The sequence below is a fragment of the Homo sapiens genome, chromosome 5, assembly GCF_000001405.40.
Source record: "Homo sapiens chromosome 5, GRCh38.p14 Primary Assembly".
Lineage (NCBI taxonomy): Eukaryota > Metazoa > Chordata > Mammalia > Primates > Hominidae > Homo > Homo sapiens.
This window is the reverse complement of record NC_000005.10, coordinates 1317381-1345166: the sequence shown is the minus strand read 5'-3', so window position 1 is coordinate 1345166 and position 27786 is coordinate 1317381. Positions and strand designations below refer to the sequence as shown.

General features: G+C 56.1%; 1 protein-coding gene across 3 annotated transcripts, besides 9 other annotated features; it reads left to right on the top strand.

Moving 5' to 3' along the window:
• CLPTM1L (CLPTM1 like) lies at window positions 68-27415 on the top strand. 3 transcript variants are annotated; one of them, XM_011514144.3, is made up of 17 exons: window positions 68-487; window positions 716-816; window positions 3307-3496; window positions 6165-6307; window positions 7185-7263; window positions 9993-10110; window positions 10784-10878; window positions 13284-13368; window positions 14784-14887; window positions 19351-19416; window positions 20354-20404; window positions 21298-21380; window positions 22256-22290; window positions 23348-23403; window positions 23488-23532; window positions 24436-24551; window positions 26714-27415. In XM_011514144.3, exons 1-17 carry the CDS (start codon window positions 326-328, stop codon window positions 26796-26798), a joined length of 1614 nt encoding a protein of 537 aa, XP_011512446.1. In that variant the 5' UTR covers window positions 68-325; the 3' UTR covers window positions 26799-27415. The 3 variants fall into 3 exon arrangements, with proteins under 3 accessions (XP_011512446.1, NP_110409.2, XP_024301990.1); NM_030782.5 differs by having other exon boundaries at window positions 6162-6307; XM_024446222.2 differs by lacking the exons at window positions 68-487; window positions 716-816; window positions 3307-3496 and adding an exon at window positions 5988-6021 and having other exon boundaries at window positions 6162-6307.
• Window positions 4109-4253: an enhancer, noted in NCBI's record as "145 bp 5:1341101 sequence used in MPRA reporter constructs". NCBI's record gives its function as "activates a minimal TATA-containing promoter with rs31487 allelic activity by MPRAs in UACC903 melanoma cells {active_cell/tissue: UACC903}" and the evidence as "EXISTENCE:reporter gene assay evidence [ECO:0000049][PMID:36423637]".
• Window position 4181: a transcriptional cis regulatory region, noted in NCBI's record as "rs31487 or 5:1341101 MPRA-significant variant associated with a GWAS melanoma risk locus at 5p15.33". NCBI's record gives its function as "allelic transcriptional activity by MPRAs in UACC903 melanoma cells {active_cell/tissue: UACC903}" and the evidence as "EXISTENCE:reporter gene assay evidence [ECO:0000049][PMID:36423637]".
• Window positions 14370-14514: an enhancer, noted in NCBI's record as "145 bp 5:1330840 sequence used in MPRA reporter constructs". NCBI's record gives its function as "activates a minimal TATA-containing promoter with rs452384 allelic activity by MPRAs in UACC903 melanoma cells {active_cell/tissue: UACC903}" and the evidence as "EXISTENCE:reporter gene assay evidence [ECO:0000049][PMID:36423637]".
• Window position 14442: a transcriptional cis regulatory region, noted in NCBI's record as "rs452384 or 5:1330840 MPRA-significant variant associated with a GWAS melanoma risk locus at 5p15.33". NCBI's record gives its function as "allelic transcriptional activity by MPRAs in UACC903 melanoma cells {active_cell/tissue: UACC903}" and the evidence as "EXISTENCE:reporter gene assay evidence [ECO:0000049][PMID:36423637]".
• Window positions 16405-17017: an enhancer, noted in NCBI's record as "NANOG-H3K27ac hESC enhancer chr5:1328265-1328877 (GRCh37/hg19 assembly coordinates)". NCBI's record gives its function as "activates a minimal SCP1, AML or CMV promoter by ChIP-STARR-seq in primed H9 embryonic stem cells {active_cell/tissue: H9 hESC(primed)}" and the evidence as "EXISTENCE:reporter gene assay evidence [ECO:0000049][PMID:30033119]".
• Window positions 17018-17632: an enhancer, noted in NCBI's record as "NANOG-H3K27ac hESC enhancer chr5:1327650-1328264 (GRCh37/hg19 assembly coordinates)". NCBI's record gives its function as "activates a minimal SCP1, AML or CMV promoter by ChIP-STARR-seq in primed H9 embryonic stem cells {active_cell/tissue: H9 hESC(primed)}" and the evidence as "EXISTENCE:reporter gene assay evidence [ECO:0000049][PMID:30033119]".
• Window positions 19485-19985: an enhancer, noted in NCBI's record as "H3K4me1 hESC enhancer chr5:1325297-1325797 (GRCh37/hg19 assembly coordinates)". NCBI's record gives its function as "activates a minimal SCP1, AML or CMV promoter by ChIP-STARR-seq in naive H9 embryonic stem cells {active_cell/tissue: H9 hESC(naive)}" and the evidence as "EXISTENCE:reporter gene assay evidence [ECO:0000049][PMID:30033119]".
• Window positions 25074-25218: an enhancer, noted in NCBI's record as "145 bp 5:1320136 sequence used in MPRA reporter constructs". NCBI's record gives its function as "activates a minimal TATA-containing promoter with rs421629 allelic activity by MPRAs in C283T melanocytes and UACC903 melanoma cells {active_cell/tissue: C283T | UACC903}" and the evidence as "EXISTENCE:reporter gene assay evidence [ECO:0000049][PMID:36423637]".
• Window position 25146: a transcriptional cis regulatory region, noted in NCBI's record as "rs421629 or 5:1320136 MPRA-significant variant associated with a GWAS melanoma risk locus at 5p15.33". NCBI's record gives its function as "allelic transcriptional activity by MPRAs in C283T melanocytes and UACC903 melanoma cells {active_cell/tissue: C283T | UACC903}" and the evidence as "EXISTENCE:reporter gene assay evidence [ECO:0000049][PMID:36423637]".

Here is a 27786-nt window from a genome sequence, read left to right as displayed (position 1 = left end):
GCATCCTGGATGCGCGTGCGCGGCAGCGGCCGAGACTCCGTTTCCCAGGGAGCCGCGCGGCGCGTCCACTTCCGGCAGGCGGCGGGGCCCGGAAGCGGCGCGCGGGGCCGGCGAATCCCGCGGCGCCAGGTGGGAGCGGGGCCGGAGCATGCGGGGCGGCCGGCGGTCTGCGGCGCGCGGCGCATTCGTTCCCCCGCGGCGGTGGCGGTGGCGCGCGGCGGCTCTCCAGTGAGCGGCGGAGCCCGGAGCGGCGGGCTGGGCGCCGGGCGGGCGGGGCTCGCGGCTGAGAGGCGGGCGGGCCGGGGGCGCCGGGCGCGGGGCCGCCATGTGGAGCGGCCGCAGCTCCTTCACCAGCTTGGTGGTGGGCGTGTTCGTGGTCTACGTGGTGCACACCTGCTGGGTCATGTACGGCATCGTCTACACCCGCCCGTGCTCCGGCGACGCCAACTGCATCCAGCCCTACCTGGCGCGGCGGCCCAAGCTGCAGGTGAGCGTCCGCGGGGCCGGGGGCCGGGCGGGTTGGGGTGGGGGCCTCTCCTCCAGGCCCCAGACGTCGCCTTCCCGTCCCAGTTCGGAGCTGTGGCCGCGCGAGTCGAGATGGAACCTTTCCTGGTTCCCCAGCGGCCAGGTCTTCCGCCCTCCAGCTGGCCGTGGGATTTGAGTGCGTCCTGCCAGGGCCTGGCCGAGCTGACTCTCGACGCCCCCTCCTTTCCAGCTGAGCGTGTACACCACGACGAGGTCCCACCTGGGTGCTGAGAACAACATCGACCTGGTCTTGAATGTGGAAGACTTTGATGTGGAGTCCAAATTTGAAAGGTATGGGCGTAGGACAAAATGCCAGTGAAAGGGAAAACATTACTCATGTTCAGATTGTTTAAAAGTTAGCTTTCTGTACATAACATGTTTATTTTAGAGAACTAGTCTTACCGAATGTCTTGAAGTGGTAGAATATCCTAACTGGAGGCCTATGCGTGGCCTGTAAACATTCAGCCTGGAAGGTGACAGGTGATGAATGTCGTTTAAGAAGTAGTTCTCAGCAGAGTGTGATGGCAGTGGGATGTCCTGGACGGGGAGGCTCCGAAGGAGCAGGGGCCACGCTTGGTGAACCAGTGGAGAGCAGACAACTCTGCAGTTTCACTACCGGGGACCAACTTGTCTTTTCCTGGTGGAAGTAGTTCGCTTAAGTTACTTGTGAGGGAAAAGAGATGAGGATAGAGGAAGCAATTTTGTAGAAAATCATAAATAAGTGACATGTGACGTTAGAATAGATCAATGTCCAAATATGTAGAGTATCTTAAAAATTACATCTGACATGGCCTAATTTTTTTTAATTGAATAAGTATACTTTTAAATATGATTTGCTTCTCACAAGTCAACCATTTCCCTTCATTGCCTGGGAGGTATCTGAGGAGAGAATAATGAAAGTTTGAGACTCATGCTGGACTCCACGCCCTCTAGGCAGCCAGTCCCTGGGGGTAGCTGGAGGCGCTGGCAAGCCGGTTTCTGCCTGGCCTCTTTAGGCCTGTGACCTCAAGCCAGTTCCTGCCCTCTCTCTGCCTCCATGAAGGGGAGGCCAGAAGTGCTGGTGACCAAGCTGCCCGCTCGGTTGTAGCTGCCCACACCTTTCAAAAATGCTCAGGATTCATCTGCACTGGGTTTAATTTCCCAGACATGAATACTGCCTCTTCCGTGCCGGGCCGTGTACCAGTTACCAAGGACAGCTAGTGAGGTTTTCCATTTGACCTGGCACAGTGTCAGCCTGGAGGAAGTGGGGAGAATGAGCACTCTTAACACAGCTCCGCCTCAAGTGTCTCCAAGTGCACATTCCACCAGAAATACACAGCCCTGCACCCTCTGCCTGAAGAGAGACACTTAAGATGTCCTGGTGGAGACATACTCTTTCCTGGGTAGTGAGGAGCCATAGATGCCTTTGTGTTTTTCATTACAACTTTGGCCGTAAGATTTTTTTTTTTTTTTGAGATAGAGTCTTGCTCTGTTGCCAGGCTGGAGTGCAGTGGCGTGATCTCTGCTCACTGCAACCTCCGGTTCCCGGGTTCAAGGGATTCTCCTGCCTTAGCCTCCAAAGTAGCTGAGACTACAGGCACCCGCCACCACGCCTGGCTAATTTTTTTATTTTTAGTAGAGACAGGGTTTCACCATGTTGGCTGGGCTGGTCTGAAACTCCTGACCTCGTGATCTGCCCGGCTCGGCCTCCCAAGGTGCTGGGATTACAGGCGTGAGCCGCCGCACCCGGCCAACCGTAAGATTTTTAAGGAGAGGCCGGGCACAGTGACTCATGCCTATAATCCCAGCAGTTTGGGAGGCCAAGGCGGGAGGATCACTTGAGCCCAGCAGTTCAAGACCAGCCTAGGCAATGTGACAAAACCCCATCTCTACAACAGTTTTCAAAGTTAGCCAGGCATGGTGGCACGCCCACCTGTAGTCCCAGCTACTCGGGAGACTGAGGCGGGAGGTCACTTGAGCTCAGGAGGTTGAGGATGCAGTGAGCTGTGATTGCACCCCTACACTTTCAGCCTGGTGACAGCGAGACCTTGTCTCAAAAAAGAGACTTTTAAAGAGGAAGAAGAACTCATGTAACCGTAAACAGGTGGAATGCGAGGTTTTTCCATGGGGCTGTAGTATGGACGTCGGGCCCTGGTGTGCGGGTGAAGAGCCAGGCACCTGGTCCGAGGCCTACAGTTGTAGCAGCTCGCCGGGCCTTTCCTCAGCTCGTGCTGGATGCCACACAGTCAGGACTGACAGCCTTGAAAGTCAGTCCTTTGTGGCTGATCATCTTTTTATCCTTAAAACTACAACACCCAAAAAAACTACCCACATTAAATTTCTGAGGTTCCAGTAGTGTGGGCCGAGGCACCTGGAGCCCTCGTGGCTGCTGCCCTTCCCTTCTGTCGCTTCGGAGTTGGGTGATTCAGTGTGTGTGGTCAGCTGGTACCCTGGCCAGGCCCAGAAGCTGCTTTCCATCTGGCTGCTTCAGCCTTGTGGCCTCAGGTGGGTTATTGACCTCTCAGCCTCCTGAGATGGAGGCAGGAAGTGCGGGCCGTTTTGCTTTCGGCTGTAGGCGCCCACACCTGTGCCGAGTTCTCAGGACGCGCACGCGTGCGCGTGCACACACACACACACACACACACACACACACGACTCGTAAAGCCCTGGGCAGGTGGGTTTCATTTTTAGTACTTCTGAGCTAAAATTAGTTTATTGAAGCAGCTTTATAAAGGTATTTGAATAGGTTCTAGAGACCCAGAATATAATATGTATGTAGTGGAAATGATTGTTCTGTTTCAGGACAGTTAATGTTTCTGTACCAAAGAAAACGAGAAACAATGGGACGCTGTATGCCTACATCTTCCTCCATCACGCTGGGGTCCTGCCGTGGCACGACGGGAAGCAGGTGCACCTGGTCAGTCCTCTGACCACCTACATGGTCCCCAAGCCAGAAGAAATCAACCTGCTCACCGGGGAGTCTGATACACAGGTGAGGGTCTTCATGGGTTACTGATAACAGGCTGTGCCTCTCCGTCAGAACGGACATGTCTTTCTCCACACAGGTGGGCGATGTCTAGGGCTCCAGTGACTTTGTTGGGAGTAAAGCCAAAAGCCATTGGAATGTTACTGGCGTGCATTTCTGACTTTCAGCTGAATCATATCCATGAGTTTGCAGACAAGTTTTATCTAAAATTAGGGACAGTTGAAGTGATCGCTGGCATTCTCGATGCAGAGTCCCTCGGGGAATGGGCCCTCTCAGTCTCTGGGGGCACCTACTGCACCTGGTGGGATGGAGCGCTGGTCCTGCAGAGCTGGCCTGCAGCTTCTCACCAGGAGCTCTGGGGATGAGAGCTGGGCTCATTCTGCATTCTGTGTAGGACTGGGCTATTCCTAGATGTTTATTCTAAGAATGTAATTGGAGATCATGGAAAAGGTAGAGGTACAAGTTGTAGTTTGTACATCTGTAGAAAGGTGTATGCGCAAATAAAAACTGGAAGTCACTTAAGTGATCATGAATACAGGCCAAGGATAAAGCAAGGGAATTCTGACACCCACCTTTGTGTTGAGTGGAAGGTGAGATAATTTACAAAACAAGGCCGGGCGCAGTGGCTCATGCCTGTAATCCCAGCACTTTGGGAGGCTGAGGCAGGTGGATCACCTGCAGTCAGGAGTTCGAGACTAGCCTGGCCAACATGGTGAAACCCCGTCTCTACTAAAAATACAAAAATTAGCTGGATGTGGTGGCACGCGCCTGTAATCCCAGCTACTCAGGAGGCTGAGGGAGGAGAATCGTTTGAACCCGTGAGGTGAGATGATGCCACTGCATTCCAGCCTGGGCGACAGAGGGAGACTCTGCCTCAGAAAAATTTACAAAACAAGAAAGATGGCAGCTTTCCAGGAAGAGGCTGTGAAATTGTTCCAGACAGAGAGAAAGAGAGGTCTCTCGGAGTTGATGGGGTTTTGAAAGCCCTACCAACACCTGCTCCTGCCTCTCCCCAGTTTGCATCTGTCTCCTTAGGAACATCCCTCACCTGCCCCTCTCCGTGTCCCCTCATCTGGGGCCCCCATCCCTCCTCTCCAGTGTCCTGAAAAGTGGGTGGGGTGATGGGCATGTAGCATGTAGCGCAGGAAGCCTCCCTTGCAGGTAGCAAATGTGAGGAGGTGTGGAAAACCGTTTGTAATGTAAATTATCGCTAAACTGCATCTTTAGGTAGGAAATGGGTGAGGCGATAGTGCTTCCTAGGATGTATCAGATCTGAGCCGAGCTAAGATTTCCCTGTCAGTCCATGTCCTGTTTAACTTCATGTAAGAGCCGTGTGTAATCCTCAGTATGTCTCCTTTAGGCAGCCCCACATGCTTGGTTTTAGAAGCTGACTCCCTCTCAGTCTCCTTACAGCCACAGGGCTGTGTGAGCCCTGGACTTGCACAGTCTTCTGCCAAGGTCAGGGGGCTCTCACCCTCTCAACTTCTGAGAAGTGGGCCCACTTAGTTTGAGGACCTCAAAAAAGGAATTGGTGAAGTCCGTGACCACATGTTGCAAAGCAGCACCCCCTGGCTTCCGTGGAGATAAGGATGGGGGGCTGTTTGGCGAGAGTCTGGCGGAATTGGCAGCTGTGGGGCCGCTGTGCCCTCTCTGCTGGGCTCTCCCCCGGTTGTGCCTGTGCGTGGCCATCTGTTCACAGGTTAGGGTGCCGACCCTGCTGTCCGGGCGCGGTTTTTCCATGTGCGTGGCCATCTGTTCACAGGTTAGGGCGCTGACCCTGCTGTCCCGGGCACAGTTTGCCCGTCTGTGTGGCCATCTGTTCACAGGTTAGGGCGCTGACCCTGCTGTCCCGAGCACAGTTTGCCCGTCTGTGTGGCCGTTCTCTTCACAGGTTAGGGTGCTGACCCTGCTGTCCGGGCGCGGTTTTTCCATGTGCGTGGCCATCTGTTCACAGGTTAGGGCGCTGACTCTGCTGTCCCGGGCACAGTTTGCCCATCTGTGTGGCCATCTGTTCACAGGTTAGGGCGCTGACCCTGCTGTCCCGAGCACAGTTTGCCCGTCTGTGTGGCCGTTCTCTTCACAGGTTAGGGTGCCGACCCTGCTGTCCGGGCGCGGTTTTTCCATGTGCGTGGCCATCTGTTCACAGGTTAGGGCGCTGACCCTGCTGTCCCGGGCACAGTTTGCCCGTCTGTGTGGCCATCTGTTCACAGGTTAGGGCGCTGACCCTGCTGTCCCGGGCACAGTTTGCCCGTCTGTGTGGCCGTTCTCTTCACAGGTTAGGGTGCTGACCCTGCTGTCCGGGTGCGGTTTTTCCATGTGCGTGGCCATCTGTTCACAGGTTAGGGCGCTGACCCTGCTGTCCCGGGCACAGTTTGCCAGTCTGTGTGGCCATCTGTTCACAGGTTAGGGCACTGACCCTGCTGTCCCGGGCACAGTTTGCCCGTCTGTGTGGCCGTTCTCTTCACAGGTTAGGGTGCTGACCCTGCTGTCCCGGGCACAGTTTGCCCGTCTGTGTGGCCATCTCTTCACAGGTTAGGGGGCTGACCCTGCTGTCCCGGGCACAGTTTGCCTGTCTGTGTGGCCGTTCTGTTCGCAGGTTAGGGGGCTGACCCTGCTGTCCTGGGCATGGTTTTCTGTCCCAGCATTGGCCTCTGTTTTCCTCACTTAACAGCAGATCGAGGCGGAGAAGAAGCCGACGAGTGCCCTGGATGAGCCAGTGTCCCACTGGCGACCGCGGCTGGCGCTGAACGTGATGGCGGACAACTTTGTCTTTGACGGGTCCTCCCTGCCTGCCGATGTGCATCGGTACATGAAGATGTAAGTGGGGCCCCAGAGCTGGAGCGCCGGGGGGAGGGTGCTGGGACCCTGGCTGGCCAGAACTCGCCAGCAGGTCACTCCTGCACCGTGGAGTCCCCTCTGTGGGGAGGCACTTGCTGCCCGGGCCTCCCAGCTCTTTCCCACTTCCTCATTGAGGTTGTGCTGCTACCACAGGGCTGGAAGGGGGGAGAAAGGAATTCAAGCTGGAGCATCCTGCCCTTTGCTCCTGGCTGGCGAAGGCTTCCATGGAGAGAAAACGGAAGGCGCTGATGGGAACGGGTTGCTTTGCTCCCCTTGTGATTTTTTAACTTGGCTTATTTAGATTTACTTAAAAGTTAATCTTTAGATTATTTAGTATCACTTGCCATCAGTTAAATACAATTATTGGAATTCACGTGTTTGGCCACCTGAGCTCACCTCGTCTCTCCCATGTGTTGGGGATCCCCCCCCCAACTCCTGCGCCACAGCTCCGCCTCCCAGGTGGCTGCAGGTGACTCGCCCTTCCAAGTGTAGTGGCCACATCCTGGGATTGCTCCGTGTCAGTGCATCCTGGGATTGCTCCGTGTCAGTGCGCAGAGGGCCCTGGGTTCTGCTGTACGGCCGTGTCCCTGTAATTCCCCCGCTCCTAGTGGCCGTGGAGGCATTTTCCCACCTGTGGCCATCACTTCCTGGGGAGCGGGTCTCACAAGCGTGCATATGTTGTCAGGCTCTCTGCTTCCGTTTGGGGAGGCTGTGCCCTGGGGTCATTGTGACTGAGAAGCAGTTGAGGGTGGTGCTGGGGGCACTTCTCTGGGGTAAACCCAGTGTCTGGATGTGTTCATTCATTGAAAGGTAAAAGCCTTGGTGCTGACTTTGGAAAGTTGTGCTTTAATCCCAGGATCCAGCTGGGGAAAACCGTGCATTACCTGCCCATCCTGTTCATCGACCAGCTCAGCAACCGCGTGAAGGACCTGATGGTGAGTGACACCTCTGCCCGCTGGTTGTGCAGCTGGCGAGACACTGACCCCAAGACTGGCCCCGCAGCCCCTGCACCCTAATGGACCGGGCCATTGCTGACATTTGACACGGTGCTTTTACCCGTGCTGGGAAGCACTGCCTTCGAGTGTGCGAGGGTTGTGACAGGGGGGCCCTGGTGGTGTGCTGGGTTTGCCGTTGGCTGGCTGCGGGGTCCTGCTGAGCCTCTGGACTGTCACTGGTGAAAGGCCCCTGGAAGATTGTTTATGCAGCGCATAGAGGGCAGCGCTTAGAGAGCAGGCACATGAGCACCGTGTGAAACAGCGTCTGCGTGTGAGCTCCTGGTGTGCCATGTAGATTAATTCACAGTATCCTGAGCAAACTCCTGCTTTCCCCACCAGGGCTGGTCCTGCACAGGCGGCCAGAGGAGCGGGTGACAGCCCTTCCTCGGAGCTGGAGCCCCCGGGGTGGCCCCTGGCAAGGCGGAAGGCCTTTGCGAATAGAAGTGGCTGCTCTCTGGGCTCTGGCGCCCTGTGATTACGGGCAGTGACAGCGCCTGCTCTCCCATAGTTGCTTTGAGAGGAGATGAAATGTGGCCAACCTTTGGCCAGTATTGAGACTCACAGAAGCAGTTAATATTTAATGTCTCTTACTGCACATGAGGCACTGTGCTAAGCACTTTGTGAATCTTTCCGTAATTGTGGTGCTGGGAGCTGTGGCGTTGTTTCACGGATGAGGTTATTTGGGGTTCAGAGGTGAACGCTCAGCTGGGGCCCTGCAGGATCGCTGCCCTGCCCTGCCTCCCTGCAAGCCATCACTGTCACTCCGGATCACCCACTAGGAGCCGGCCACTTCCACTTAAGGCTCTCGGCACCTCTGACCTCTGAGGCGGGCCCTTTCCCCTTTTTTGTTGAAGAGGAAACAGTCCTGGGGAGAGCAGAGGGCTTGCTAGCGGGGGGGTGCAGCTGGGAAACGGAGAAGCGAGCACCTGGCTGCTTTGATCTCTGCCCAGGCCCTGCTGCCTCCTCCTGACTGCGGCTCTCAGAACAGTCCCCCTGTACTGCTGTTCCCTCAGACCCCTTGCAGTCCCTAACATACTGCCTCCTTCACTTCTGGGGTCACTGATTGCTCCTATACAACCTGCAGGCTGGGGGCTGCACAGGCAGTGGCTGGCGAGCAGGTCTGGCGCTGCAGCCTATCCCTGAGTAGTTTCTCTGTCGGCCCCTGCAATTCCAACCTCTTTCTCTGTTTGCTGGAGTTTGCTGGTGTGCTGCTGACAAACCTCAGGACAGCAAGTTCTGCTAAAATGCCCCATACAGAGCTGTGTGAGCTGTGGCACCAGCTCGTGGTCACCTCTTGTGAAGCCTCATGCCGCTGACTCCTTGCAGGCATTCAGGAGATGGTGGACAGGGGCAGGCAGCTGCAGAAGGCTGCCCTGTGTGTCTGTCTGCAGATCTGTCTTGTTAGAGGCCCGGGGCAGGCTTTGCGGCGCAGCTGTGCCAGTGGTGGCCTGCGTTCCAGTGGTTATGGAGACACGTGTGCCGACAGCAGCTTTTCCCCCAAATCACAGTCTCTCTCATGTGTCGCTGTTGCTGTGTCTCACTTGGGGCCAGATTCGAGAGGTGCTGTCTTGAGAGAGGAAGCAGGCAGCTGGGATGCAGCAGGTGCAGGAAGTCGGCACCTTCTGTGGCTGGGCCCAGCACTGCCAGATGGAGGAGGCAGTGACACCCTTCGGACACGCTTGGCAGCTCGAGGGGTGCCTGGAGGCCACCATCCATGTGCACTGATGCCACTTGGCTACGTGGGGCGCCCTGACAGCCGCTCTCAGGGCAACCTGGCACCTGCTGGTTGTGGCTCTGATTCCACCACACCCTGACACCAGCAGTGCCCGCCATAGCAGAGCAGGTGGATTAGAGCACAGCCCTCGCTGGATGTTCCAGCACGTGGAGGGTGGCGGGTCAGGGCTTGAGGCAGGGCAGGTGGATTAGAGCACAGCCCTCGCTGGATGTTCCAGAACGTGGAGGGTGGTGCTCACCGGGTGTGGTCACTGCCCACGTGCTGTAGGGTGTGGGCTCGCGCTTGTGAACCCGTTCCTCACCCTCCTACCTCGGCACCCTGGGACCTGGCCCACAGCCTGTGTGCGTGAGGCCCCGGCAGGCTGCAGGACTAAGCTCGTGGTTCTGAGACCTACACATCCACCCTACTGCCCCTGCTAGCTTTGCGTTCCAGAAGCTTTCTGTTGTCCCCACGGCCACCCCCTGCTCTGTGCTTTAGGCCCTGAGGCACTTTGCCCATGTGCTGCAGGGCTGTGCTTGTCCCGTGGTCTCCAACTCTTAGGACAGGCCAGGGCTCTGCAGGCCAAGCTCAGCGCCGTATGCTGCGCCATGGAGTCCTAGCAGCTGGGTGGCAAGCACCACCTCCGGGGCACCAGGACTTGTGCGGCTTAAAATTGAAGGGGCACGTGCAGCAAAACAGACCAGGCACTGCTAGCGCTGCTGAGCTCACGGGGTCCTGGTGGGGGTGGGAACCTCCCTGTGCTGGAACGCAGCACGCTGGGGCCTGAGGCCTGTGGTGACAGAAGGAGGGACCGGGGGATGCTTGCTGGGCCCAGTCATGGCTGACCTGGGGCCACACAGGGATGGGAAGGGGGATGGCAGGGTTGGCGAGGGCTGCCAGGCAGCTGGGTGCAAGGGTATGAGGGCAGGGCCCTCAGTGTGGCTTTCTTCATCAGGTCATAAACCGCTCCACCACCGAGCTGCCCCTCACCGTGTCCTACGACAAGGTCTCACTGGGGCGGCTGCGCTTCTGGATCCACATGCAGGACGCCGTGTACTCCCTGCAGCAGTTCGGTATGTGCCGCACACGGCCGGCGCCTGGGTGAGGCCGCCCTGGAGCCCCTCGGGCATCCAAGTGCGAATCCTGACACAGGCCGGGGCCTCCTCGCCTCCTGCTGCAGATCCTTGCACAGACGTTGAATCAGAGGCTAGCAGCGCCTGCCTCACTTCTCTCCTTGGAGATGACCTGGTTGATTGTCTGGAAATTGGCTTTATTAAGAACATAATATGTGAAATGCCATGAGTTTGGTCAAATGAACCTTAACTGTTGATGAGATTTATTTTTATTGTTTGTTTGTTTGTTTGTTTGTTTGTTTTGAGACAGAGTCTCGCTCTGTTGCCCAGGCTGGAGTGCAGTGGCACAATCTCTGGTTACTGCAGCCTCCGCCCCCCGGATTCAAGCGATTCTCGTTCCTCAGTCCCCCCAGTAGCTAGGATTACAGGCGCGTGCCCCCACGCCCAGCTAATTTTTGTATTTTTAGTAGAGATGGAGTTTCACCATGTTTACCAGGCTGGTCTTGAACTCCTGACTTCAAGTGATCTGCCTGCCTGAGATTCCCAAAGTGCTGGGTTTACAGGCATGAGCCACTGCGCCCGGCCTAAATTTTTATATTGAAAACTGTATTTGTAATGTTAGGTAAGATTGACATTGCCTGTTTTATATTGTATGTTTTTTTTTCCTTGACAGGGTTTTCAGAGAAAGATGCTGATGAGGTGAAAGGAATTTTTGTAGATACCAACTTATACTTCCTGGCGCTGACCTTCTTTGTCGCAGCGTTCCATGTGAGTCATCCACCGGGGGGCTTGCCGCAGGCACTTGGGGGGCTCCCTGGGCCCCGGGCCTCCTGCAGGGGTCCTGGACCTGGGGTTTGTGGGCGCCGTCCAGCCCTGTGGCCCTCAAGTGTCCACTCCCATCACTCAGCAGCCAGCACGCCTGACACCAGGCGACCATTGTCCCAGTGGGCGGTTTCTCCCAGTTCTGAAAAGGGAGGGACCATAAAGCTCCGTCCACAGCCTTGGCGACTTGGGCTGTGCTGGCTTTGGGGGCGGTTTTGAAAAGGATCCAGGGTACTCTGAGCAGTGTCCACACCAATGAGATGAATAGGTGCAGGCATCTCACTCTCCCCTGCCCAGGCCCCGACCCCATGCAGAGCCAGGGGCGGAGCTGGGCAGCCTCTAGCAGAAAGTAGTTCTCTTGTATAAATTCTAACACACTGATTTTTAAATGTAAAAAGTCAGTCCTGTGTGTATACAGTAGTTCCCCCTTACCCGATGTGTATACAGTAGTCCCCCCTTATCCTCATCCGGTGTGTATACAGTAGTCCCCCCTTATCCTCATCCGGTGTGTATACAGTAGTCCCCCCTTATCCTCTTGCGGTGTGTCTACAGTAGTCCCCCCTTATCCTCAGCCGGTGTGTATACAGTAGTCCCCCTTATCCTCATCTGGTGTGTATACAATAGTCCCTCATCCTCATCCCGTGTGTATACAGTAGTCTCCCCTTATCCTCATCCGGTGTGTATACAGTAGTCCCCCCTTATCCTCATCTGGTGTGTATACAGTAGTCCCCCCTTATCCTCATCTGGTGTGTATACAATAGTCCCCCCTTATCCTCATCCAATGTGTATACAGTAGTCCCCCCTTATCCTCATCCCGTGTGTGTATACAGTAGTCCCCCCTTATCCTCATCTGGTGTGTATACAGTAGTCCCCCCTTATCCTCATGTGGTGTGTATACAATAGTCCCTCATCCTCATCCCGTGTGTATACAGTAGTCTCCCCTTATCCTCATCTGGTGTGTATACAGTAGTCCCCCCTTATCTGGTGTGTATACAGTAGTCCCCCCTTATCCGGTGTGTCTACAGTAGTCCCCCCTTATCCTCATCCGGTGTGTATACAGTAGTCCCCCCTTATCCTCATCCGGTGTGTATACAGTAGTCCCCCCTTATCCGGTGTGTCTACAGTAGTCCCCCCTTATCCTCATCCGGTGTGTATACAGTAGTCCCCCCTTATCCTCATCCGGTGTGTATACAGTAGTCCCCCCTTATCCGGTGTGTCTACAGTATTCCCCCCTTATCCTCATCCCGTGTGTATACAGTAGTCCCCCCTTGTTCTCATCCAGTGTATATACAGTAGTCCGCCCCTTATCCTCATCTGGTGTTATACAGTAGTCCCTCATCCTCAGGGGGTGTGTTCAAAGACCCTCATTGGATGTCTGAATATGTGTATCAAATAACGTAATGAATGAATATATGTATTATGTAATGGTTTTGATAAAGTTCAATTTATAAGTTAAGCACAGTAAGAGATTACCCACAATAACTGGTAACAGAAACAGGACAGGACAGTGTGATAAAGTTACGTGGGTGTGGTCTCACTCTCAGAATATCTGTCTCATCGCACTGCTCCGTGCTAACCGAAACCATGGACAGTAAACCATGGGTAAAGCAAGGCTGCTGTGCTCTTACTGTTGTTCGTGGAGCTGAGCTGCTAGGGAGAGCCATCCTTGTGGCTGTTAGGCTGGCCTGTGGTTAGGCGGCACCCAGGAGTGCGGCCGGCACTGGTTCTGAGTGCCTGGGAGTTTGGCTGCCAGTCAAGCTAAAACTTTCCAAAGCCGTACTAGAGAATTAAACGATTTTTATTAAAAGGTCAGTGTCTCTAAGGATGAGATCATGCATGGTTAGGTTTTTTTAAGTTTTTTTTGGAGACAGGTCTCAGTACGTTGCCCAGGCTGGTCTCAAACCCCTGGGCTTAGGTGGTCCTTTGGCCTTGGCCTTGCAGTAGCTGGGATCACAGGCATGGGCCACCATGCCCAGCCCTTGCGTTTTTAGCACAGTTGAGAGATGAGGCTGCCCTGAGTGGGCACAACCCGAGAGCAGGGGTGCCCAGCCAGGCCCATGATCCAGGGGAATCCAGAGCCTCCAATTGCCTGGGGGCCTTTCCAGCAGTTCAAGTCAAAGGTACGTATTATTTCAGAAGTGCCCCTGCAAAGCCCGCCTGGGCACTCTAGGTTCTGACATGGCAGGCCAGGCGCGTAGAGGCATGGGTCCCGAGTGTAGACACTTATCCTGATGCATCCTGAGGCTGAGTACACCTGCAGTCTCACGGTCACACACGAAGCCTCTATCTCTGTCTCACAGGAGATGGAAACAGCAGGAGATGTGAGTTGCTGTCGTGTGTGTTCTCTCTAGCTTCTCTTTGATTTCCTGGCCTTTAAAAATGACATCAGTTTCTGGAAGAAGAAGAAGAGCATGATCGGCATGTCCACCAAGGCAGGTAGGCCCCCCGAGCGTGGCCCTGCTCAGATACTCTGCCCCAGGGAGCTCACTGGAGCCTGCGGTAGAGGGCTGCCTGCCTCACTGCTGGCTGCAGACACAGCCCCGGGTGTGTGCTTGGCTCTTGAGAAGCCTCTGAGACCAGGCACCGTAAAGCCCAGGGAGCCGTTGCGGCAATTGTGGTGGGACCATCAGAGGCTGCACGGCTCAGGGCCTCCAGCGGCTGCACAGCTCAGGGCCTGGCTGCGGACTCTGGCGTGCATGGGGTCTGGGTCTGGGCTGTGGAGAGTGAGATGCATGGACCTCTCGAGCCTTCCCGGCTGCTCATGGGCGCTGAGCAGGGCTGGGGCCTCACATCCCCTGTCTTGGTTCCCTCGCCCCGTCCTCCCGCCGGTGTTCCTTCCCCGACCAGCGCAGGCCTGGGCGTGTGGGGCCTGCCAGGTGATGGCAGTTAATAGGCCCGTGGTGCTGTGCCCAGCAGTGACAGGCAGTGTGCAGCTGTTAGGTAGGGCAGTCAGGGACCCCTGAGGCCAGGCAGCCCAGGCAGGAGGCCTGCCAAGATCTGGGACCAGTGTTCCTGGCCAAGGGTGCCTGCCGTGGTTTAAGGGGCCCAAGTGAGTGAGGGGTCCTCCTGACCTTGCAGGGGTGGAGGTTGTCACAGTGGGGTGGGGAGCGGCGGTCTGGACAGGGGCGAGTGGTTGATGGGTGTGAGGACGAGGAGTGGGTGTGTCCTGTTGGTTAGGAGTGAGGAGCATTTGGCTCCAGTATCAGACCCGAACAAGTTGTTTTTCTCGCATGGAAAAGACGCCCAAGCAGGTGGCCCTGGCTGCCTGGGGGCCGTGCCGTGTTCTGCGTTGTTGTCTCCTAACCCTAATGCCTTTCCTGGCGTCCTGGGTTGGAGTGGCCAGCAGACAGTGGCTGTGGCCTTGACCACTGTTTGTCCTGTGGCTCCATGGATCTGCTTCCCCTGCTTGCCCTCAGGGCTTGCAGGAGGAGGAAGACGTGTTGAATAAGCTGGAGTGGTTCTTAAGGTACAGCTGGGGAGGAAACAAATCCAGACTTGAAAAGCCACGCACTTATCACAGAACTGGCATAAGACACGCCCGGAAGCAAAGCTGTGCTGGCCCCGTCATCCGACCTCTGCCCACGTTCCATGCTCATTTGCAAGTGTGGCTCAGACACGTGTTTGTGGAGCTGGTGTGGGGCCAGCTGTTCAGTTCAGCAGCCTTCCAAACACTTTCCTAGCTGCTGAATGCTTCATTGTTCTTTTTAAACGGGGTGACGTGGACTGGGGAGTACCTGAAGCTTCTTGGGCGTGGTGGGTTGGGATGGGGGACTGGGGGTATGTGTGTGACTTGGGGAACACAGGTGGGGTCTGCCCTGCACCCCCTCCCAGCCCGACCATCCTGTCCCCAGTGCTCTGGCGCTGCTTCAGCACCGTGGTCATCTTTCTGTTCCTGCTGGACGAGCAGACGAGCCTGCTGGTGCTGGTCCCGGCGGGTGTTGGAGCCGCCATTGAGGTGAGTTCCGGGCAGTGACCTGAACTGTCTGAGGTCCATGTGCCTCCACGCACTCAGGAAAGGCTTTCAGCCCCGGGACCTGAGACCTTCTGTGGAAGCCTGTGTGCTTGTTCCCGATGGCCTCAGTGTTCTGGAAGCTGTAGGATGGCAGGCAGTGGGTGTAAAGGCTTTGAACAAGTGGAGAGCAAGGAAATGCGTGTTCGGGTGGTATCAGCTCATGAGGCTCTGTCCACCAAGCAGTGGTGAGTCCTGAGGCCCTGTCCACCAAGCAGATAGTCCTGAGGCTCTGTCCACCAAGCAGTGGTGAGTCCTGAGGCCCTGTCCACCAAGCAGAGAGTCCTGAGGCCCTGTCCACCAAGCAGAGAGTCCTGAGGCTCTGTCCACCAAGCAGAGAGTCCTGAGGCTCTGTCCACCAAGCAGAGAGTCCTGAGGCCCTGTCCACCAAGCAGAGAGTCCTGAGGCCCTGTCCACCAAGCAGAGAGTCCTGAGGCTCTGTCCACCAGGCAGAGAGTCCTGAGGCCCTGTCCACCAGGCAGAGAGTCCTGAGGCTCTGTCCACCAAGCAGAGAGTCCTGAGGCCCTGTCCACCAGGCAGAGAGTCCTGAGGCCCTGTCCACCAGGCAGAGAGTCCTGAGGCCCTGTCCACCAGGCAGAGAGTCCTGAGGCCCTGTCCACCAGGCAGAGAGTCCTGAGGCCCTGTCCACCAAGCAGAGAGTCCTGAGGCCCTGTCCACCAAGCAGAGAGTCCTGAGGCTCTGTCCACCAAGCAGAGAGTCCTGAGGCTCTGTCCACCAAGCAGAGAGTCCTGAGGCCCTGTCCACCAAGCAGTGGTGAGTCCTGAGGCCCTGTCCACCAAGCAGAGGCCTGAGGCCCTGTCCACCAAACAGAGTGTTTTCATGTGCTTGAGAAATCCCACCATGTGCAAAGCAGAGGTGTAAACCGTGGGGCCTTGAGAGGCTCGTGCTGTGGCTGGAGATCTGAGCACAGCGGCCAGGTAGGCACTGACGGAAATCACTCGGTGCCCTGTGGTCCAGCCTTGGTTGTTCCGGAGCTCAGAAAAGCCGGCCAAAAGGGAGCCTCGTGGGGCAAGACCAGCTCAGGAGCAAACCCTTGAGGGGGGCGATGGCCTTCAGGGTGAGAGGGCCCAGGCTTAAGCCTAGCTCCTCACTGAGCTCTGTGCCACACCGGCAGGAGCCGGAGTCTGAGGTCTCTGCAGTTGGTGGCCCACCTGTGGGTGGGGGCCTCTGCGGCCGTCATGCCTGTAGAGGAGGAGCTGGATGCAATGTCTCTGTAGAGGAGGAGCTGTATGAAATGTGTCTGTAGAGGAGGAGCTGGATGGAATGTCCCTGTAGAGGAGGAGCTGGATGAAATGTGTCTGTAGAGGAGGAGCTGGATGGAATGTGTCTGTAGAGGAGGAGCTGGATGAAATGTGTCTGTAGAGGAGGAGCTGGATGCAATGTGTCTGTAGAGCAGGAGCTGGATGAAATGTGTCTGTAGAGGAGGATCTGGATGGAGTGTCCCTGTAGAGGAGGAGCTGGATGAAATGTGTCTGTAGAGGAGGAGCTGGATGGAATGTGTCTATAGAGGAGGAGCTGGATGAAATGTGTCTGTAGACAAGGAGCTGGAAGAAAACTGTCTGTAGAGGAGGAGCTGGATGAAGTGTGTCTGTAGAGGAGGAGCTGGATGAAATCTGTCTGTAGAGGAGGAGCTGGATGAAATGTGTCCGTAGAGGAGGAGCTGGATGAAATGTGTCTGCAGAGGAGGAGCTGGATGAAATGTGTCTGTAGAGGAGGAGCTGGATGGAATGTGTCTGCAGAGGAGGAGCTGGATGAAATGTGTCTGTAGAGGAGGAGCTGGATGGAATGTGTCTGTAGAGGAGGAGCTGGAAGAAATGTCCCTGTAGAGGAGGAGCTGGATGAAATGTGTCCGTAGAGGAGGAGCTGGATGAAATGTGTCCGTAGAGGAGTAGCTGGATGAAATGTATCCTGTAGAGGAGGAGCTGGATGGAATGTATCCTGTAGAGGAGGAGCTGGATGGAATGTGTCTGCAGAGGAGGAGCTGGATGAAATGTGTCTGTAGAGGAGGAGCTGGATGGAATGTGTCTGTAGAGGAGGAGCTGGATGGAATGTGTCTGTAGAGGAGGAGCTGGATGGAATGTGTCTGTAGAGGAGGAGCTGGATGGAATGTGTCTGTAGAGGAGGAGCTGGATGGAATGTGTCTGTAGAGGAGGAGCTGGATGGAATGTGTCTGTAGAGGAGGAGCTGGATGGAATGTGTCCGTAGAGGAGGAGCTGGATGGAATGTGTCTGTAGAGGAGGAGCTGGATGGAATGTGTCTGTCGAGGAGGAGCTGGATGGAATGTGTCTGTAGAGGAGGAGCTGGATGGAATGTCCCTGTAGAGGAGGAGCTGGATGAAATGTGTCTGTAGAGGAGGAGCTGGATGGAATGTGTCTGTAGAGGAGGAGCTGGATGGAATGTGTCTGTAGAGGAGGAGCTGGGTGGAATGTCCCTGTAGAGGAGGAGCTGGGTGGAATGTCCCTGTAGAGGAGGAGCTGGATGAAATGTCCCTGTAGAGGAGGAGCAGGATGAAATGTGTCTGTAGAGGAGGAGCTGGATGAAATGTGTCTGTAGAGGAGGAGCTGGGTGGAATGTGTCTGTAGAGGAGGAGCTGGATGAAATGTGTCTGTAGAGGAGGAGCTGGATGGAATGTCCCTGTAGAGCAGGAGCTGGATGGAATGTCCCTGTAGAGGAGGAGCTGGATGGAATGTCCCTGTAGAGGAGGAGCTGGATGAAATGTCCCTGTAGAGGAGGAGCTGGATGGAATGTCCCTGTAGAGGAGGAGCTGGATGAAATATGTCTGTAGAGGAGGAGCTGGATGGAATGTGCCTGTAGAGGAGGAGCTGGATGGAATGTGCCTGTAGAGGAGGAGCTGGATGGAATGTGTCTGTAGAGGAGGAGCTGGATGGAATGTGTCTGTAGAGGAGGAGCTGGATGAAATGTCCCTGTAGAGGAGGAGCTGGATGGAATGTGTCTGTCGAGGAGGAGCTGGATGAAATGTGTCTGTAGAGGAGGAGCTGGATGGAATGTGTCTGTAGAGGAGGAGCTGGATGGAATGTGCCTGTAGAGGAGGAGCTGGATGAAATGTGTCTGTAGAGGAGGAGCTGGATGGAATGTGTCTGTCGAGGAGGAGCTGGGTGGAATGTCCCTGTCGAGGAGGAGCTGGGTGGAATGTCCCTGTAGAGGAGGAGCTGGGTGGAATGTCCCTGTAGAGGAGGAGCTGGATGAAATGTCCCTGTGGAGGAGGAGCTGGATGGAATGTGTCCGTAGAGGAGGAGCTGGATGAAATGTGTCCGTAGAGGAGGAGCTGGATGAAATGTGTCCGTAGAGGAGGAGCTGGATGAAATGTGTCTGTCGAGGAGGAGCTGGATGAAATGTGTCTGTCGAGGAGGAGCTGGATGAAATGTCCCTGTAGGGGAGGAGCTGGATGAAATGTCCCTGTAGAGGAGGAGCTGGATGGATTGTCCCTGTAGAGGAGGAGCTGGATGAAATGTCCCCGTAGAGGAGGAGCTGGATGGAATGTCCCCGTAGAGGAGGAGCTGGATGGAATGTCCCCGTAGAGGAGGAGCTGGATGAAATGTGTCTGTAGAGGAGGAGCTGGATGAAATGTGTCTGTAGAGGAGGAGCTGGATGAAATGTGTCTGTAGAGGAGGAGCTGGATGGAATGTGTCTAGAGGAGGAGCTGGATGAAATGTGTCGGTAGAGGAGGAGCTGGATGGAATGTCCCTGTAGAGGAGGAGCTGGATGAAATGTGTCTGTGGAGGAGGAGCTGGATGAAATGAAATGTGTCTGTCGAGGAGGAGCTGGATGAAATGTGTCTGTAGAGGAGGAGCTGGATGAAATGTGTCTGTAGAGGAGGAGCTGCATGGAATGTGTCTGTAGAGGAGGAGCTGGATGGAATGTCCCTGTAGAGGAGGAGCTGGATGAAATGACGCTGGAGCTCCACAGGCAGGGTCCCTCCATAGGTACGAGTCACAGTGCCGTGCCCGGCTCTGGCACCCGTCCTGAGCTCCGTGGGTGATGCCTTCCAAGCATTTAGCCATGAGGTGGCGGCTCTCAGAGCGGTCCCAAAACTGGCTCCAGGGCTGCCCGAGTGGCAGGCAGAAGTAGGTGGGGGCTTATTTGGGTGCAGGCAGAGTGGCGTAAAGAACTGCCCTCACATGCTGTTTTTGTTGTCCGCTGGGCGGTGGCTGTGCAGCCCACCTGACCAGGTACGCCTGCCGTGTGTGGGTTAGAGGCCCAGGTCCAGCCTCCAGCGCTCTGGCCTGAGCTGTGGGAGGGACAGGAAGAGGACAGTGGGCTGCGCGGGGCCATGGGCAGCAGGTCCTACCCGTTACTGTCTGGGTCGTTCATTCGTGGCTCCTGGCCTTCGAATATTAAAGGAACTATTTCCTGATTTCTCCCCTCAGCTGTGGAAAGTGAAGAAGGCATTGAAGATGACTATTTTTTGGAGAGGCCTGATGCCCGAATTTCAGGTAGGATTTAGTTGTAATGGCTGAACCCCAAGCCTCTCTGAAGAGTGTGATTTTGCCCCCTGTGCAAAGAGTAAGATGGCCATCTGCAGATGAGTCACTGCGGGCCTCTGTCAGGGGAGCCTCCGTGGTGGAGGCAGCACTGGTTTCTGATCGCAGCCACTCTCTTCGCCTGAGGATTCCCCGGTCATATACCTAGTTCTGACCGTCTTCAGTGCAGACGGCAGCACTTCTGGGCCTGAGCCGGCCTCTGGGAGGAAGGATGCTGGCTGGCCAGCACGTGTGCTTCGTTTTGGCACCTTGTCCAGAGGCGCTCCCGAGGCTGGTGCTGACTGGGGTCCGTACAGTCCTGGCAGTCCTGAAGTGAGTGAGCCCCTGCCCTGAGCTGGTGGCTGCCCCAGTGCCTGGGCGCCCATAAGGCCCCTAGGCAGATGAGGGCTGGGGCAGAGCTGGAGTTGAATCTCAGTGCCCACGGATGGACCTTGATTGAGGCGGGGCCCTCAGCAGTCACAGGCTGAGATTTTCCATGCTGTGGGCAGGGGGGTCAGGAAGCCCAGCACACGCAGCGCAGCCACTGTGTTCCACCTTGCCCCATGGCTCCCGGCCGGCTGGTTCGGAGCAGTGTTGGCTGTGCCTGTGTGCTCTGCAGTGTTCTCACTGAAGCGGTGGCACTGAAAACTGAGCCACCTGAGCAAGGAACAGCAGTGAGGCCGCGTTGCCCCCATCAGGCTTGTGGGACCCAGGGCCAGGGTGAGGCGGGAAGGATCCATGCGGATCCCCGTCCTCTGGGTCCTCTCCTCGCCTGGTAGGGACCTGAGCGCCCTCTGTAGTGAGGCCTGGGTCAGCTCTGCAGCCATATGTGACGCCCCTTAGTCACAGCTCAGCTGTGCTCAGATCCTCCCTGAGTCTATTAATATCACTGTGTTGAATTTCACAACAGTTTGGCACTTACAGCGAATCTGAGAGGAAAACCGAGGAGTACGATACTCAGGTAAGTCACTTGTGATTCAGGGCACGTGCATGCCAGGCAAATCCAACACCCTCAAAGACGGGTCTTTTACTGTCATTGCTCAGTGCGGAAGTCTCCTTGGAGTACGGGTCAGCCCGCCTTGAGCAGGGATCCCAAGAGTGAACACATAAAACCCAAATTTCTTACTGGGAAGGGCGGGGGCTCGCAGAGACTCATTTCCCAGTCCTTACAGGCACAGCCTGCCTGTGTCACCGTATAGTAGGGATATTTTCATCGTTTGTAAGTCACATTCGCCAGGCAGCTGACGCAGGCCATGGTGTCTGCTGTGGTTGCTGGGAACGCACTTGCCGTCACCAAGGCCATAATGGCCGCGGCCGCACAGTGGCCTGGAGGAATGGCCCCAGCAGCACAGGGCGTCACCTTTCCCCATTGCTGTTGGGGGAGCTGGAATTCTCAGTTCCAGTTAATAGAACATTTCTGCACAGATGATTTTAGTTTGGTTTAATCTTCACCAGCTTATATCCAACTTGCATGGCGTTGTAAAGCTGAAATCAGAATGGATACAGCTGGCGATGTAACTACATTACTTAGTAGGCAGTTTTTTCCGGTTTCTTTCCATTATGTTTATTGATCTGTTGTGGGTTGGTTGGTTTTGACCAACCAGAATTGATCTATTATTGTTAACTAGCGCCTGTAGTTACACCCGGGCTCTGGCGTGTGCGGTGCCTCCTGGGGCTGTGGCGAGTGTGCGATGCCCTGCCTGTGCCCCTCACGCCGCCCCCTGCAGAGCAGCCCTGCCACCCTGAGCGCTGTAGCTCGTTCTGTCTGTCCCTGTCGGGGTGAGCTCCATGCAGTGTGTTTACAGAGGCTTGGCGTTTGGGCCTCTAACTGGAAGCCATCTTTGTTCCCTGCAGGCCATGAAGTACTTGTCATACCTGCTGTACCCTCTCTGTGTCGGGGGTGCTGTCTATTCACTCCTGAATATCAAATATAAGAGGTAGGAGGCCGCACACGCTTCCCCTGCTGCGTCTTTCCCCTGAGAAAGCCATTTGGATGACTGAGCCAGAGCGGGGTGCGACTGGAGGGCAAACTCGGGGCCGGGGCACTTGGGCCAGCGCCTGGGAGGGGTCCTGCCCCTGCAGCTGCACACGGTGGGCTCTGGGCCTCAGTGTCCCCCTGGTAAGGTGTAGCTGAGAGGACTGACTCCAGCCACCAGGCTTCATGGGAGGCTTGGGCCTGAGCTGAGAGGGGTCCTGGAGCCCCTGGCCTCTGCTGCCCGTGTGGGGTGCTGGCCCTGAGCTGAGAGGGTTCCCGGAGCCCCCGGCCTCTGCTGCCTGGGTGGGGTGTTGGCCCTGAGCCGAGAGGGGTCCTGGAGCCTCCAGCCTCTGCTGCCCGGGTGGGGTGCTGGCCCTGAGCCAAGAGGGATCCCGGAGCCCCCAGCCTCTGTTGCCCAGGTGGGCTGCTGGCCCTGAGCCAAGAGGGATCCCGGAGCCTCCAGCCTCTGCTGCCCAGGTGGGGTGCTGGCCCTGAGCTGAGGGGTTCCTGGAGTGCCCGGCCTCTGCTGCCCGGGCAGGGTGCTGGCCCTGAGCTGAGAGGGGTCCTGGAGCCCCTGGCCTCTGCTGCCCAGGTGGGGTGCTGGCCCTGAGCTGAGGGGTTCCTGGAGTGCCCGGCCTCTGCTGCCCGGCCGGGGGTGCTCAGCGCTATCTCCAGCTTGAGAACCAGGCTCAGCACTGCTGCTCTTGGCTGCCGAGCTGCCGTGAGAGCATCTGGGTATTTTCAGAGGATTTTTAATGAAAGAATTATTTTTCATCAATTTAATACAGATATTAAGCTATGCGAGAAATAGGACTTCTCCTTTTTTTTCCGTTTCAGCTGGTACTCCTGGTTAATCAACAGCTTCGTCAACGGTGAGTCCATGTGCTTCCCTGCTTCAGTACTAGTGTTTCCAGCAGGCAGCGATTTAATTGTTCTTGCATTGAAACCCAGTGTGGCAAGCCCCCCTGTGATTTGAGGCTAATCCCTCCCCACCCTGTTCTGGCACATGTGCGGTGCCCAGGGCTCCCCCCAGGCTGTGAGCAGATAAAGCCCTGCGTGGCTTCACAACAGTGACTGGTTCTGAGAAACAGGTCCTTGTACAAGCGACAGGGAGTGCTCACACCAGATGTGGCAGCCCCTCCACGCCAGGCTGTGTGGTGCAGCCGCCTGGTATATGTGTCCATCGCTGATGAAAACAGCATTGTGTGGTGCATGACTGTTGTCTGTTTTCTTCATGGAAACAAGGAAACCTAAGCATTAAAACAACACCATCCACGTCTGGTTCCTTAGAGCAAATGGAAGCACCAGGCTCTGGTGCACGGCGCGCCCCCTCCTGCAGATGCAGTGTGGGGACCCTGCAGGGCCCTGTGCTCGGGGCCACATGTCCTGGGAGGCCCGCCTGCCCCAGGTGGCACCTTCAGCTGCATGGGCTGCTGTGTCCATCCCCCAGCCCCACCAGACCAGCCCTGATCGCAGCTTTGTGGTCTCTTTGGGAAGTGGTCCCGTGAGCATTAAGGGCGAGGGCCTGTCTGGTGCAGAGCAGGTGGGTCCCGCACTGCCGTCCTCCCTGGTAGGAGTCCCACACCTGACCCCTGGGGCAGGACCTTGTGGGTCAGGAGGCCGTGTCCTCATAGCCCCAGGGTGCTCCAGTGCTCTCACTGACTTGACCCCGTGGGCAGCAGTTACACTGATTAATAAATAGAAGAGCTTTGCTCTCCAAAGTTGTCGTAGACTCTTGATAAACTTACCAGCCAGAAAGCTGCTTCACACCATGATGGACTCTGAAGTTGTCTGGATAGCAGACCTTGTTTTCTGCCCACTATGCATAGACGTGGCAGCTCGGCCCTCCACACCTCGTGAGTGCCGTCTGTGCGTAGATGTGGCAGCCCGGCCCTCCGCACCTCGTGAGTGCTGTCTGTCTTTCTGCAGGGGTCTATGCCTTTGGTTTCCTCTTCATGCTGCCCCAGCTCTTTGTGAACTACAAGGTAAGGCGGTGTGTGCTGCCCGCGGCCCGGCCCCCGTCTCCTGTGCTGCCCACAGCTGACCTGGGCCTGTCTCTCCTGTTTCAGTTGAAGTCAGTGGCACATCTGCCCTGGAAGGCCTTCACCTACAAGGTGAGTGTGACAGCCGGTGAGGAATCCCTTCTCACTGAGCAGAGCGTGAGCAAGGGCGTCTTCCAGCCAACAGCATTACTGGGGCCATCTCTGCCCAGAGTGCATCTGCACCTGTCCCTTTCATTGAAGAATATTGAGGAGGCTCCTTTAAAAAAAAAAGCGAAGAGCTATAGAGTAACTTCAGACCCTGAAAGACTGGGGTGGTTCTCTCACTTGTCACAGATTTGGTTTTCTTTTTCTTTTTTAGTGTTTATGTTTCTTCTTAGCACATGTGTCAAGACACAGACCCCCTGTGGCTCAGTAACCGGTGCCTGGGGACAACGGATTCAGGCCTCCCAGGCAGGAATGGAAGCCCCCATGGGCCGTGGCCATTCCCCGCTGGCAGAGCTGTGGAGGCCCCCTTGGCTCCGTGTGGGATTAGAAGTGCCTCGGCATTGCAGGCGGAGCTGAGTTAATGGGACATGATTTGCACTTTTCTGAAGTCAATTACAAGCTCCCAGAGGAAAGGGCAATGCTCAGGTGGCTCTGCCCTTGGCTCTCCCCTTGGCTGTGGTCTCGGGCGGCTCTAACCTTGGCTCTGGTCTCAGGTGGCTCTGCCCTTGGCTCTGTCTCGGGCGGCTCCAGCCTTGGCTCTGGTTTCAGGCCATTCTCTTTGGGTTCCCCGATGTGGGAGCCTGGGCAAGACCCGCAGTGTGTCGGGTGCCAGCAGCTGTGGGGAGCCCATGAGGGAACAGAGCTCCGTATCTCCACTTGCCGGCTTTCTGCTCTTTTTGTTGTTGCTGTGAGGAGTTCCAGTTAGTTCCAAGCATCTGCCAAAAGCCGTTGGCTTGGTTAGGTTACCAAAAACAGTAGGATTCCAGCCCCAGCAACTGGGGTTCACCCTCCTCCCGTCTGGCCCTGCAGGCTTTCAACACCTTCATTGATGACGTCTTTGCCTTCATCATCACCATGCCCACGTCTCACCGGCTGGCCTGCTTCCGGGACGACGTGGTGTTTCTGGTCTACCTGTACCAGCGGTGGTGAGTGCGGCTGCGTATGCTCGGCCGTTGCTCCGTCTCAGCGGCGTGGCTGCTGCTGAACGGAATGACGGCTTTCACCGCACCCTGCGCCTGTTTATCCATTTGAGGGAAAAGATAATTTGCAGGTGGTGGTTTTTCCTGTCTTGCCTAAACTTGGGTTCCAGTTGCCCATGATATGTCCTGGCAAGAAACTGTTCCAGCTCTGTCTCCTCACTGTGCTTTAGAAATGCTCGTTTCTATGTGAATTATTGATGAGCCACTGAAAGCAAATGTCTCTCCTTAAGCGATTTATTTACCTATTCACAGTCATTGCTATTGAGCAGAACAGAGACCGTAGCATGGCTAATCCATACTTGGCGCTAGCCTCGAAGTGTCCAGCCAGCAGTGTGGACCTGCAGGGCACAATGTCACTGGGGAGCTCACTCACCTCAGCATTGGCCGCACCCCTTAAACCAGCCACCAGGGCCTCTGAAGACTGCATTGCGTGGACCTCTCAGCTTGGCCTTCAGGTTGAAGGCTGACGGCTGAGGAAAAGGCTTTGTGGAATTTTCTAAAGGCAGAGGTTCAGGCCCCACCCCGGGCCTCGGAATTTTCCAAATGCAGAGGCTCAGGCCCCACCCTGGGCCTCCCGCTTCCCTCCAGGGCTGACATCTGCCCTCTCAGTCAGCAAAACCTCCCTCCAGCTCTGCTGTGCCAGGGTAGGAGCCAGGGATCTGGGGCTCCCCTCGGGAGGGTTGCATCTGGACCACTGCAAGCACTGCCCTCACCTCCAGTGCCGGCCCCAGGGCCTTGTCCAGGGGTCGAAGGAGTGTGTGTCACCCCCAAGACCTGCTGCCAAGTGTCTCAGAGCCTCCTGGCTGTGTCCTTTCTCTGGCCCTCAAGGTCCCTTTTCCCATCTCCCTCCCCCGACCAGGAGGCCACCTCACACACCACGGCTGTGACACTTCCCTGTGCCCTTCCCTCAGGGCCTGGGGCCATCCTACTAGTGCAGGAGAGGGATCCTCTTCCCCCAGGCCGTCCTGGCGGGTCCTGCCTAGGTCCGGGGTGCCGGCCCTTGGGGAGCGCAGTGCTCCCGTCCCCGCCCTGTCTCCACACTCAACCTCGCCAGGTGTTCAGAGCCTCTGTCCCAGCCAGCATGAGGCTGGCATGGTTCTGCCTGGTTTAACTCTTTGTTCGGGTGCAGTTGGCACATCCACACAGTGGCTCATGGCCGCCCTTGCCCAGCTCTCCAGGCCTGGCCGCCGGCTGCCCCCCCCCACCCTGTTGCTGTCTCGTGCAGCCCCTGCACGGGAGCTCCAGCTTGTGTCAGCGGGAAGGGCTATTTCACCATAAGCAACACTCACACTCACACGGGGCTTGGTTCCTGTCCCCCGTTCACCATTCTCAGATCCCCCAGCTGGCCGCCTGCCCCCTGCAGAGCCTGAGGTTGTCCAAGCCACGGAGCCCCGGACGCTGCTGCGCCTGGTGTGGTTGTCTCAACTGTGAGCCCTTCAAGTGGCTCCCAAGTCCTCGCAGGTGGCCCGGGGCGTGCCTGAAACTGTGCTGTACTCAGGCTCTGTGTTAATGGCTCCAGACCTGCAAACGGTGTTTGGCCAGGATCACAGGGCCCTTGGTGGGCAGCAGGTCTGTTTTTAAGCTGAAACCCTGTACTTCTGTTCGCGGCCGTGTAGAGCTGCCCCTTATGCCACAGCTTCCTCATCCATACGTAGGGGTGATGTTGGCAAGGCCTCCGGGGCGCTCAGGATCAAAGGCGGCGGCAGTGTCCTGCCAAGTGTTCACAGCTGATGAGACGTGGTCCCTGAACACAGCGGTTCCTGTTCTGATCACTCGAGTCTCCGTGATGCCACCGTTCCCAGAAGGCAGCCCGTGCAGCCTCCGGGTCCCCCCTTCAGCCATGGCAGCCCGTGCAGCCTCCGGGTCGTCCCTTCGGCCAAGCTTCCCTTTCCTTGAGAGCAGCACGCTGGCCTGGCCATGCAGAACAAAACACAACTCAGAAATCCCTCCTCAGCCCTCGGCAGTAAAACTTCTGAGGATTCGACTTTTTAGTTAATTTGCTCACTGTGGCAGCTCACTGGAAAATAAATCGAGGATGCCAAGTCCTCCTCTTAGAAAAATAGCCCCTGCAGTGGGGTTTGCTGATGTGCTCATTTGTGTCATTGCAGGCTTTATCCTGTGGATAAACGCAGAGTGAACGAGTTTGGGGAGTCCTACGAGGAGAAGGCCACGCGGGCGCCCCACACGGACTGAAGGCCGCCCGGGCTGCCGCCAGCCAAGTGCAACTTGAATTGTCAATGAGTATTTTTGGAAGCATTTGGAGGAATTCCTAGACATTGCGTTTTCTGTGTTGCCAAAATCCCTTCGGACATTTCTCAGACATCTCCCAAGTTCCCATCACGTCAGATTTGGAGCTGGTAGCGCTTACGATGCCCCCACGTGTGAACATCTGTCTTGGTCACAGAGCTGGGTGCTGCCGGTCACCTTGAGCTGTGGTGGCTCCCGGCACACGAGTGTCCGGGGTTCGGCCATGTCCTCACGCGGGCAGGGGTGGGAGCCCTCACAGGCAAGGGGGCTGTTGGATTTCCATTTCAGGTGGTTTTCTAAGTGCTCCTTATGTGAATTTCAAACACGTATGGAATTCATTCCGCATGGACTCTGGGATCAAAGGCTCTTTCCTCTTTTGTTTGAGAGTTGGTTGTTTTAAAGCTTAATGTATGTTTCTATTTTAAAATAAATTTTTCTGGCTGTGGCATTTTTCTTGACCTGGTATAATGAAAGTATTTCGGATATTTGAGTTTAACCCTTTTCCAGAAAGTAATACATGATATGGATTTATTTATGCATTAAAAGAGCAAATTTAAAGAGCCCTTTGCAAGCCTTTGAGTCATGAGTGTTCTTAGATACGTAGCATCTTAGTTGTTTAAGACTAAACTATTGTACAGAGCCATGACCCATCAGGTCAAGCTTATCTTGCCCTAGGTTGAGGCAGAGAGAGAGAAATGGAATAGAAAGATGGGTGGAGAACTGCTGGACTCGGTGTGTAGTGAAGTTTAATGTTTGTTGAAGTTAGTTTTTGTGGGGTTTGTTGTTCTCAGCTCACAGCAGCCTCCACCTCCCATGTTCACACAATCTTCTTGCCTCAGCCTCCTGAGTAGCTGCGACTACAAGTGTGCACCACCACATCCAGCTTTTTTGTATTAATATTTTTAGTAGAGATGTGGTTTTGCCATGTTGTCCA

What these genes read in the sequence shown, in the direction of transcription:
- CLPTM1L (NM_030782.5), top strand. Translation starts at nt 326, where the DNA reads ATGTGGAGCGGCCGCAGCTCCTTCACCAGCTTGGTGGTGGGCGTGTTC. An exon ending in GTGCATCGGTACATGAAGAT is followed by an intron (nt 6,308 to 7,184) that starts GTAAGTGGGGCC and finishes CTTTAATCCCAG; the next exon opens with GATCCAGCTGGGGAAAACCG. An exon ending in GTACTCCCTGCAGCAGTTCG is followed by an intron (nt 10,111 to 10,783) that starts GTATGTGCCGCA and finishes TTTCCTTGACAG; the next exon opens with GGTTTTCAGAGAAAGATGCT.